This window comes from Homo sapiens, chromosome 9 (assembly GCF_000001405.40).
Source record: "Homo sapiens chromosome 9, GRCh38.p14 Primary Assembly".
NCBI classification, from domain to species: domain Eukaryota; kingdom Metazoa; phylum Chordata; class Mammalia; order Primates; family Hominidae; genus Homo; species Homo sapiens.
Genome location: NC_000009.12, coordinates 84,948,115 through 84,960,370, shown reverse-complemented (window position 1 = coordinate 84,960,370; position 12,256 = coordinate 84,948,115). Strand labels below are relative to the sequence as shown.

Below are 12,256 nucleotides of genomic sequence, written 5' to 3'. Positions count from 1 at the left end.
AGGACTATATTTTCCAGTTCATCAACCCTTGGAAACCTCTAAGGTGAGTAGGGTAAGGTGAAAGGTGCTAAAATTCATATCTGTTCATCTGGCCACTTGCTATATTAGCTGGTCTTGGTACCACACATCTTCCTTTCTCTTCCCAGTTGATAAACTGGGAGTGGGCATCTAATGATGATTTCCTGGAATCTGTTGCTGACATCTCTTTAACACTTTAGAGTTCTGCCCTGGCCTTGCTCAGCCAAGTTATATTCATTTGTTTCTGTAAATGTCTACTATAAATCACTTTGCTTATTCTTCTTCCTTTTCTTTTCTTAAGTGGAAGATAAATTAAAGGACAGGGTTTCTTACCACTCCAACATAAAGCTGAAGCCCAAGAGAGAACAAGATTTAACAGCTAGGATTGCAGATGTTTGGGGCCCTCCACTCATCAACAGATCACATACATTTTAAGCATATGTTAAAACCAAACAGTGCAAACCACCCAAGGGGCACATTACAAAAATTTAAATGGTCTCAATGCGGCACAGGCATGACCAAGTAGAGTGAGACCCTAGGTCTCCAACAGGCAGAATGTGACTGAAATCTGGTTCAGATGTTTCCTAAATGTCAGGTTTTGCCAGTGGAGGAAAGAAACAAAAAAACAAAAGACTGGTACTGCAGATCTGCTAATTAAAACAATTCAGAGAACATAAATGCTAGAGTAATTTTGGACCCGCCATGTTGGGCTGGTTTCAATGCAAATGTAGTGTTCCGATTTCTCCCTTCATTGGGAAGGTATAATTAGCTCAGCTGCAACAGGGTGGACGCCTGGAGGCAGCCATTTCCTGGTGCTACCAGCTCCCCTGTAACGAAAGAACAGCTGCCACCCGCCCCTCCTGCCATGAATTGCACAGAGACATGGCTATCCCTCAAGGCTGCTTATAAGCCACCATGAGTGGAAGGCTTGGACTTCTAGTGGGAATGGTTCTTGCTTAAAGATAAGGAACATTTTATGCAATTCAGTTGACTCCATGCCCAATCACCATTCTTCCACATAAGATAGCCCTGGTCAGAAAACAAAACCAAAACCAAAAACAAACAAAAAAAACCCACACACAACTGTGTCCCATTACTGCGATGGAAAGAATTTTTAACATTGGTGACGACAGCTCACATCAGCTAAAGCAGCTTCTCACCTTGGAGTTCAATGCAGAGTGTTGAAGAGGATAGGGATAAAATAATGAAAAAAATTTTTAAAAATTACTAAGGTGCCAGCAAATGAGAAACCTGAATCATAAGGAGAACACATTACCCCAGCTATGGTGATAGAGAAGTTGAAGAGACACCGTGAAGGGGATGGGTTCAAGGTTAAGCTTTCAAGTGACCCAATAGGTGGATGACTGATGTAAAAGCAAGAGTGCTCTGGGACTTAGCCACCGCAGGAGGCACTGGAGTTCTCCTGTAAAACAGATCAACAGCTTCTGCTTGTCCATTTGACAAACTCAACAGAATGGGCCCCATCGATATGTCAATAAGCAAACATCTCCCAAGAACCAGTTCTATGATGGCAAATATTCACTTTCATGAAACGAAAAGGTGAACCATCATTCTGACATTTTAGAAAGGCAAAATAAAGTGTCATTTCCTTGTTTCCCTAGGCTGCTAGCAAATTGTCAGGTTTTGCATCCATCCTTCACTTCCCTACCCAGTCTTGCCCATTCCCATCTGCAACAGAGGCCATTGCAAGGCTGGTTCTTTTCCCTCATCCTGAATGGGAAAATCAAACAAAAACTAACCCTACAACTGCAACCGAGTAGTGGCCACGGGGGTGAAATTAACATGGCATCTGGAGCACATTTCTTAGTGACTCAGCCAGTTCCAAGATCATGTAACAAATAAAGGAACTGGGAATCGTTATTCTTCCGATCATTTCAGAAGAAAGTACTTCAGAATATTGCCACCTAAGTGGAGGATTTTCTTTTTAACAAATGTTAAAATATGGTAGATGGCAAAGTCCAGTGTTTTTACAATGTGTAAATAAATGACCGAGATTAATTTCTTATGTTCATAATGATGGTCACTGTTTTGCTATTATTTTCCTTTTCATGCTCTTTTTTTCTTTTTTGAGATATAATTCAGGTACCAAAATATTTAGCCTTTAAAGTGAATGATTCAGTGTTTTTTTTTTGTATATGATTAATGTTGTACAATTGCCACCACTGTATATAGTTCTAGCACATTTTCATCACCCCCAAAAGAAACCCTGTACGCAGTAGCAGTCAATTCCCATTCTTCCCTGCCCCCATCTCCCGGTAACCATTAATCTACTTCCTGTCTCTATGGATTTGCCTATTCTGGACATTTCATATAAATGGAATCATATGGTATGTGGCCTTTTGTGTCTGACTTCTTTCACTTAGCACACTGTTTTAGAGGTTTATCTGTGTTGCAGCATGAATCAGTACTTTATTCTTTTGTACTGCTGAATAATATTCCATTGTATGGATTACCGCATTTTGTTTATTCATTAATCAGTTGATGGACAATAAACTTGTTTCCACTTTTTAGCTATTAATAGTAATACTACCATGCACATTTGTGTTCAAGTTTTTGTGGGAACATATTATTTCAGTTCTCTTGGGTACATGCCTAGCAGTAGAATTACTGAATTACATGGTAACTCTATGTTGAACATTTTGAGGAACTACCAAACGGTTTTCCAAAGCAGCTGCACCATTTCACATTCCCACCAGGAGAGTACCAGAGTTTCAATTTTTCTGCAGCCTGGCTAACACTTGCTATTGTAGTCATCTCAGGGGGTGTGAAATGGTGTCTTATTGTGAGTTTTCTTTGCATTTTCCCTAAAGACTAATGATGTCACCCATCTTTTCATGTGCTTATTGACCATGTGGATGTTGTCTTTGGAGAAATGTCTATTCAGAACCTTCTCCTACTTTCGAATTGAGTGATTTATCTTTTTATTGTTGAGATTTTAGGTATTTTTCTTTAAATTATTTTTGGAGATTCCTAGAGAGGAGGATGCCAGGTTCCATCCAGTTAAGTCCTAGCTTTGGAGATGAAGTGTATGTCTATTGATTTGGGTAATAATTAGGTGGAAAAACTTAACAAGCACTCACTTTTTGTGCCAGGCACGTTGAACCCTTTACTAATACTGCAGAGAGAAAGCCTTTGCCTGGGCCACATGTCCCTCCCTTGGGTGCTCACCAAGATCAGCAAAGCTTTTCTTCGGAGAATCATCCATGTGTTTCCCTGCCCCCATCAAGGAAGGGAGAACTTTCATTAAGGTGTAGAACTAGCAGAGGAGACCATCTCTGGTAGGTAAAGTCTCCCCACGTTTTAAATATCTTGAACAAACTAGTCACTGCTTTTAAGCTACATTTTGAACACCTGAAGTTAAGAGTGTGCCCCCATCTCCTGCAAATACACCCAAGAGAATCTTTTTCCATGTGGTCTCTATTCCTTTTTGCCACACAAAATGTAAATGATGCTTATCAAGGTGACCAAGAAAAAAAAAAAACACCACAAAACAGTCAAATGAAGAATAATGGAGCACGACAATAGATTAATTTTCTTACACTAATTATAGCAAAGTTCACCCCACTAAAACGCAGAGGCCATAGAGGTGAGCAAGACTGCAGGAAGGGGAACAGGAAATAAACTGAGAAGGTGCCTCCTCAAAAATAAATAACAATGAGAAGAGCAAAGCCAGCATCTTCACCAGCCCTACCCTATTATGAAAGGTAGCCAGTTCTGTGCTTTATGCTGTTAAGCTATAGACACCAGCACATTTATTCCCTTCCTTCCTTTTCCCTTCCTCTCTCCTTGAAAAACAGCAAAACACACAAGAAAATCAAATTGAGGGTTGGTAGAAAATCAAAGTGGTAGAACACCACCCCGAATCTTCACTCTAAATATCACAACTTCAACATTTCCAGAAATTCCCTTTTCTCTCATGTCCGAGTTCCAAAATCTCAGTTAACAAAGTTAACATATCCCGGGGGCCAGTTCTAGGTCATCAGTGGATCTGAGTCACTGTCTGTAACTCTGCCTCTCAGTGATTTCAGTGGTGGAAACACCAGACAAGCTGTGTGGAAGTGTCTAGGAACAGGCAGGATAAAACTTCTTCCATCTCACCAAGCTAAACCGCTTTCAACCAAGATGGCGCTTGGAGGGAACTTCCAAAGTCCGGTGTACTATTATTTATGTGAACAAGTTCACTTTTGTTCAAATCTCAAACAAAGGCTCCAGGCATACTTTCACAGAATCAAAGCCAAACCTCAGCATCCTTTAACCTCACCAGGAATTCCCCCAGGCCCTCAGTTTTCTCTGGAAGGATTCTCACACTGAGGACTTCACTCTTGGAGATCTCACCCACCACGCTGGAGTGCCAAGAGCAGGGTGGGTGCTATGGGCTGACCTGCGTCCCCCCAAAATTTATACGTTGATAACCTCACCTCCAGGGCCTCAAAATGTGACTGTATTTGGAGACAAGACTTTAAGTAGGTGATTAAGTTAAAAAGACCATTAGGGTGGGATGCAATCCAATCTGACTGGTGTCCTTAAAAGAAGAAATTTAGGCCTAAAGGGAAGGATTGGGTTGTCACCATCCCAATGTGAGGGCATAGTGAGAAGGCAGCCACCTGCAAGCCAAGGAGCGAGGCCTCAGGAGGAACCAATCCCACTCACACCTTGAGCTTGGACTTCCAGCCTCCAGAGCCATGAGAAACACATGTCTGTCGTTTAAGCCACCCAGTCATGATATTTTGTTATGACAGCCTCAGCAAACAAATACAGCAGGGGTCCCGCAGGGAAAGAGGTCCCTGGGGTCTCTGATCTGCACAGCTACTCACCCTGTAGTAGTCAGTGCTGTACACGTCCCGGGACATCCCAAAGTCCCCGATTTTCACCAGCAAGTTCTCCCCGACCAGGCAGTTCCTGGTGGCCAAATCGCGGTGCACGAAGTGCTGGGACGCCAGGTAGACCATGCCCGCGGCGATCTGCTGGGCTATATGCAGCATCTGCGACTGCGTCAGTTCCGTGGGCGGGTTGCCCTCAGCCATCAGCACGGCATCAGGGCCGTGTGCCCTGGGGAAGGACATGGAGAATGAAGCTGGGGGCCTCAGCATTTTCACTCCAGGGGCCCTTTGCCCCTGCCCCTCCCCGTCCCTCTTGCTAAGCTCCTCACCCCCACCCTGTAGCTGCTGGTGCTAAAAGATGCTGCCTGACTTAGCATGAAGAGGAGACAAAGGTGCTCACACAGTTGTACTTCTGCAGTCCTGAGAGCACCCAGGCTGCTCTGTTTCCCAAAGAGTCTGGAATTCCCAGGACCCCGTGGGCCTGAATGTCCCCCTTCCCTCCAGTGTACAGACAGGTTGACATTTTAGGGGCTCTGGCACTGTGCTGGGTTCAGGCACTTACCAGGGCCCCCTGACCCTGAGAAGCAGCAGGTAGGTGAAGGAAGACAAAACCAAAAACAAAACATATGGGGAAAGATGGACTCTCCTAGTGGGATGGACATGGCAGCCCAGTGGGTCCCCACCCCTTCCCACCTAGCCAGGCTATGCCAGAGTATCCCCCAACCAAGCTGATTCCTCCAGAGTGTCCCCACCAGCACCAGAGCTGGGCAGCCTGCGGCCTTCCATAGTCCACCTGATCTGTGGCCAGGCATGGTTTTGAAGCTACGCCTGGCTCTCTCAAGCCCAGTTCAACAACAGAGTCCCAGGGCATTCTCAATCTGGATGTTCATTCTCAATACAAAATACCATTTCCTTCTGTCCACCCCTCCTCCAACCTCCGCTCAACACAGGCTATGGCCAACACATAGGAGAACTCTTTTGAACCACAGCCTGTTTATTCTTTTGCTGGGGAAAATTTTATTGTTTACACTATGGGGAGGGGGACTATGATTTTTTAAATCTTATTTTTCTTCTGTCTTACACACCTGGCCTCTCCTCAGCTATGTGATGACTTAGGGCACCCTAACACGCAAGTCCTGCAAGGGTGGGAGGATCCGCGTCTTAGGATGCCGCCCTCAGCGCGGCAGGCTCTGCTGTGACATCCTGCGCTGTGAGCCAAGATGAGCGTCATTGCCCCTGGTGGCCTGAGGGGGCGCTGCAGTGCAAGGAATAAAGGCGGGGTTTGCTGTCGGGCTCTGCCCTGGCGTGGCCAAGGGCTTCTCTCTGGGAAAGGAAAGATCTCTCTCAAGACGTTTTGAAACACTTAGAATAAATATAGAGGATTCTGCATAAATGTTAAAGTAGGTAACCTCACCTGCAGGGTTTCAGAGCCGTGTGAGTATTTGAAACTGAGAAAGCCAGAATTGTCTGAGAACACATGTCAGGGTTTGCCCTGCCTCTCCGCCCTCCTTCCCCCAACTATTCAAGCCACAGGCGTATCCCCACTTCCATCCCGGCTCCAGCCTACAGTGACTGTCTTTGCCTTTGATTTCGGGAATCATTCTGTCACCAGATCTTTCATTCCTGTAATCTCAGGGAATGAACACTGGACAGGAGTTGGGGGGTCTCCCAGGCCTACCAGCGTCCAATGCCATGATCCTGGGAAGCCCTTTAATTTCTCTCATGTACAATTTCTTCATTAGTCAAAAATACAGAGGAATATTATACTGGGTAATTTCTTAGGTTCTTCCTGTCTCTAAATACCTGGATTTAACCATTCCCTGGGGAGGAGTTTCCTGTTTTTGTACAAGCCAGTCCTAACATATTTCACCTCTACTCAAACCACAACCCCCAGCTGCCTCTTGTCACATTGAGGAACAATGCTGGGAAAATGCTCCAGGGCTTTCTTCAGCTCAAAAGCACCTACTCAAGGTAAGAAGCGGCACAGTGGCCAAAGCTCCGGGATATGTGAAATGAATTTGGATCCTGTCCTACACTTGCTGTGTGATTTTGGGTGAGTTACATAACCTCTCTGGGCCTGTTTCCTCACTCTGTAAATTGTAGATACTAACTGCCCCTTGCTAAGGGCATTGATGTGAGGAGGACTGACACTGTGCTTGCATAGTGCTTCGTGGCCTTTCACAGGAAAACCAGGGAGAAAGGCTTTGCAAACAAAGATTCTCTTTAAAAATGAAATTGACAGGTGATGTGAAAACACAAGTTATCCTCTGTGCATTACTTTTTGTAACTGGCCTGTAACAGGGCTCTTCAGGATACTAGAGGGTGGGCCCTTTCCACTTCACTAAAGGTGAATCAAGCCTAATCCTTTTCAGCACTGAGGGGTCAGGGGAAATTGCCAATGTTTTCACTTGTCTTCCTTAAATCTACTATGACCTCAGCACCAGGAGAAGGGGCTGGGGTGCACATAAACTAAAGAAAATCTGAAATAAAGACCCAGAGACTCGGTCAGAATTTAATCTTCATAGGTACCATTTAAATAATAAAATAATTTGTTGATTGGCCACAGCCTTATATCAGTTCCAGAAAACTGATCTACTTTAAATATCTCTCAGAGGCAAGACTCCAGGATAGAGGAAAAGTTAGATGTCAGTGCAAAAGGCCACCTCTGCACAAAATTCTGTCCTCCAACCCCACACTCTGCAGACGTCAGGAAGCTGGTGGCCCTCAAATGCCTAATGCACTTTATATTAGTATGTGTGGGTTGGGGGAGACTCCTGGATTTTTAAAGTAATTTCCCCTGTTTATATCTGGGTATTTGCTGTTCAACTTTCTGAACACGGCTCTTTAAATAAAATAAGCCTCTGGATGCTTTCTCTGAGCAGAACATACTGCTGTAAAAAGTGGGTAGGTGGGTCTGCTACACAAGTCCTTAAGAGGAACAGAAATAACGGTTAACGCTGCAATCCTCTGCTTTCACTTTCCCAGGTCCTCGTGAAGTCTTAGAAATCAAAACACATTTCATCTCTTCCAGGAAGACATTCCTTAAGAGGTAAAAAAATAACAAAATTAAAAAAAGCACCATCAGCTCCCTGGCTTGGGAAGCAAGTAGCAGGTTCATGGGCCTGACTTAGCTGTCCAGTTCTCTCCAGCGTGGGTTACAGCCGGCACTGCACCAACTGCTCTGGCTCCAGGATTCTATAGCACACCACTTTCCTTCTGGTCTTTTCAACAAGCACCTCAGCAGAGAGGATGGCAGAGTGGTTAAGACCATGAGTTCTTGCAGCCAGGGGCTGCAGGTTTGAATCTCAGCTCTGTCATCTGCTACCTGTGTGATTCAGTTTCCCCAACTGTAACGTAGGAATGACGGCAAGGATGGTTTATACCCTGAAACATATTAAAATGCTTAGAAAGTTCAATAAATGTTAGCTGTGATAGTTTGAAAAATAGTAGTCTATTTTTCCCCTCATTAGACGGCAACTCTGGACAGATTCTAAGAGGAAAAATCATGAAACCCTTGCAAGCAAAGACATGTGTTTTATTCCTCATTTCCCACCCTAACTAGCTTAGAGCCTGGCCATGCTGGTGCTTAATATATGGCTTCTGGATGAATAAAGAGGGTAGGGAGACAAGAGAAGACATCTGTCTTTATAGGGCAGAGCTGATACAGCTGGGGACTTTTCATGGCAGCTAAGTGCCCAGCTCCCTTGCGGAAAGAGGACAGCCTATATTTGCAGCATGTTAGTGCACCTGAGAACTAGACTTTTGGCATGGCAAACCTCTTGTTCCCAGAGTTTAGCAGGTTCTGAAACCAAGCAGGCTAGGTTTCCAATTGCTCCACACCCTGTGCAAGGTGCCAAGGGAGAACCAGGTGCCTGTTCCTTCTGCAAGGCAGGAAGGAGAGCTAGGGAGAAGGAGAGGCTGAGTGAGAAAGTGAAAGAGTCAAGTTGCAACACACACACACACACATTCATGTATGTACAGACACACTGTGAGCTCACGGAAGCATTTAATTGCATCCAGGTGAGCACATTTGTATTTCTTATGCTACAGATTTTCGAAAGCACCATCTTGAATTAGGGAAGTAGACTGGGGCATGGGAACAATGGGAAAATATTTCTCTTAGAAGCAGCCAGACCTCAACCACATTCAGCTTTTTTCTTCCTTTCATGTTAGAGCTGACAAGACAATGTTCAAAAGTCATCCCCTGTCCTATCACTTACAAGAAAAATTTTGCTGACGTAGGATAATGCATCAAGATTGTCTCAGAATACTGCAAATCGGCTATATATTCCTAATTCCACCTGGCATTTCCTCGCCCACACAATCATAGGAAAAGCAGAGAACAGGGATCCAGCCCAGCAAAGAAGAATTAAATTGCACGTGGATCCATGAGGCTAAAGAGGGTAAAAATGATCCAGACGGCACCAGCCATGTGATACCATTTCTAAAAACAGCAGTATGTTCTCGCAGTGATTGACTGATTACTTAAACTGCAGTGTCTGAGTCTTCCAGCAGATACATGAAGCTTACTGGGGCTGATTTCTGTGCAAAGCCCTCTTCAGCACCCATGGAAATGAGAGGCAGACAGAGACTCCTAGGTGTTGCCATCACAAGAAAGGTGCCACTTCCCCAGGATTTCAGATCTCTCAACCAAAATGAAGAGGAAATTGTGGCAGAGATGAAGTATTGTGAAAGATTGTGAGGACAACATTTCTTGATTACCTCTCAGTCCAACAATGCACACACTAGACCTTGAGATGGATTAAATGATACCCCTTTCACAGGTAAGGAAACTGTGCCCAGCAAGGGCAGGTGAACAGCCTTTAACAACTTTCCTATTACTGTCTACCAAGATATCACAAGCAGCCCATTTGCTAATCTTTCCAAAATGAGGACTAGCTAAATTAAAAAAAAAAAAAACATATTAGACCCAGATAAAACTTAGAGAGGATACAAGGCAGGCCTACCTGAGAACAAAGGTGATTGAGCGAACTGGGGTGGAGGCTCTTTTAAGGGACACCAGCAGCTGATGCAGAATAGGAAGGAGAACCTGAATCTCCCGTCCTCACTACTGGGACTTCTTACTCTTTAGGTTCATGATAATGTATTTGCCACTTCCACAGAAGCCAAAGCATCACTTGCCTTCCTTCCCCAAGGAGTATCTTGCTCAGCACATTTCTTCCCTCCCTTGCTAGATGCAGGAGATCACTCACTGTGGACCCTACCAGGGTGATCACCAACTTCCTGCATCTTATCAAACTCAGCTCTCCTTGTGATTTCTCTTACCGAGGCAGCTGGTTTACCAGCTGACATCATTCCTGGCAGAATTCAAGCGTCTGCTTATTGAACGTTCCCCATTCGCTCCTACGCTAAGAGCTTTCTATACTTATTCTAGTTCAGTCCTCATGCCTACTCTGCCAGCTCAAGATTCTCATCAGAACAGCTAAAGAGACTTGCCTGAGGTCACTCAGCTAATAATGCCTGGACTGAGACTCAACTTCAGCTGTGTCTGGAGGCCAAAATCCCTACTGGTATCATCACGCAGCATGGTCTCCTCAAAAGTCACCACTTATATTGTGTGAGTTAGCTTTACTGTTTCAAAGCAACTTGACCTTTCTTCCCAGATCACAGTCACTTTCAGCCATTTCTCACCTGCTCTATCTTGTGGTTCCTCCCAGTTCCCTGTACCCATCATCTGAGGGAGGGGAGTTCTTGAGAAGGCACAGCTGAACTAAAACCCAATCAGGGCCAGGTGTGGTGGCTCATGCCTGTTTTCCCAGCACTTTGGGAGGCTAAGGGAGGCAGATCACTCGAGGTCAGGAGTTCGAGACCAGCCTGGCCAACATGGCAAAACCCTGTCTTTACAAAAATATGAAAATTACCAGACATGGTGGCACATGCCTGTTATCCCAGCTACGTGGGAGGTTGAGGTGGGAGAATCACTTGAACCTGGGAGGCGGAGGTTGCAGTGAGCCAAGACCACATAACTGCACTCCAGCCTGGGTGACAGAGCGAGACTCTGTCTCAAATAAATAAATAAATAAATAAATAAATAAATAAATAAATCCCAACCAATCAGGCCAATGCTAGAAATTCAAATGACACTAACCCTAATCAATAGCCCAGTGACTCCCTTTATAGTCAACATTTTCTCTTCCTTGCCTTGCCTTTTTCTGAAGACCCCACATCCCACAAAACTTCTCAGTTGAAGCTGTCCATCTTTTCATGACCTCAGGGTCTCCGCATAATCTGGAGTCTTCAATCAATGTTTTTACCTCCTTCCTTCTGAAGCTTTTCTTCTTTGGATTTGGATCTTTCCACTGTAGATCCTCTGAACTACTGGCCTCCTGGTTATTCTTTTTGTCCTTAGGATAAAGTCCAAGCACCTGCCCCACCCTTTCAGCCTTGACTCCTCCAGCTGTTTTTCTGCTTCCCTTCCTTACTGTTCATTCCACAGTCTGGGAACTTGAAAACTTCACTCTCACTGGACTGCAATTTCCATTGTGACACCTGGGTACCTTAGCTCTTCCTGTTTCCTTTGCCTTTAATAACACCACATAGCAAACTCCTACAGATCATCTAAAACCCATCCCAAATGCCCATGTCACATACCACTCCATGTAGCAAATGTTCAGTGAATGCGGACTGAATTGAGTTGGATCATTTGCATCACATTACATAGAATTCATTAAGGAAAAAGAACAAGACTGTCACCTTCTTTTTTCTCTCCTCCTTTCTCTGGCATATGCTGGTGTCATTATCAAATAAGATGCTTCGAGAAAGGTCCAGGGGTCCCTTGTTCCCTCCCATGAACCCTCCACTCCTGAACCCTGAAGGCCTGCTCCCTCCTGGAGCCCACCTCCCCGCCTCACTGTACCTGAGGAACTTGTTGAGGTCCCCATGCTTCATGTACTCAAAGACCATGATGAGGGGGTCGCCCTCCACGCAGACGCCATAGAACTTGACGATGTGCTCATGCTGGAGGTTGGTCAGGAGCTCGGCCTCACGGTGGAAGTCCTTGCGTGCATTGTCACTGGCATCCTTCAGGGTCTGGGGATGGGTGTTAAAAGAGAAGGATTACTTCAGTGGGCCCTATGATACTGAGATAGGAAAGACATCCATCTCATTTGTTAGGCAAAAGATGAGAAAACAGCCTAGTTCCTAAGGAAATAACATTTGTGCTAATAACTGAGGAATAACTCCTTAGGCATATGCAAAGCTTTCCAGCTTATGACACACTTTCACAGAGGTTCTCTCATTAGGTTACAGACAGGAGGTCTTTTTAGGGTCCACATCCTTTCTAACCCTGGTCTGCACCCAATAATTCCCACGGGCTTCTTTCCCTTGTTGGTGCCTGTTGTGCTTTCTTTCTGTGATGCTATGTGCAGCTTACCTCT

General features: G+C 44.9%; 1 protein-coding gene across 16 annotated transcripts in view, besides 1 other annotated feature; it reads right to left on the bottom strand.

Moving 5' to 3' along the window:
* Nucleotides 1–12,256, bottom strand: part of NTRK2 (neurotrophic receptor tyrosine kinase 2) — a 358,533-nt gene that overhangs the window by 66,684 nt on the left and 279,593 nt on the right. For all 16 annotated transcript variants that reach the window (XM_017014751.3, XM_017014753.3, XM_047423432.1 and 13 more), the window contains 2 exons: nucleotides 11,737–11,909; nucleotides 4,854–5,088 (listed from right to left, as the gene is read on the bottom strand). In XM_017014751.3, the coding sequence (XP_016870240.1) occupies nucleotides 4,854–5,088; nucleotides 11,737–11,909 (408 nt within the window). The remainder of the gene's footprint in view (nucleotides 1–4,853; nucleotides 5,089–11,736; nucleotides 11,910–12,256) is intronic.
* Nucleotides 4,998–5,498: an enhancer, noted in NCBI's record as "H3K4me1 hESC enhancer chr9:87569788-87570288 (GRCh37/hg19 assembly coordinates)". NCBI's record gives its function as "activates a minimal SCP1, AML or CMV promoter by ChIP-STARR-seq in primed H9 embryonic stem cells {active_cell/tissue: H9 hESC(primed)}" and the evidence as "EXISTENCE:reporter gene assay evidence [ECO:0000049][PMID:30033119]".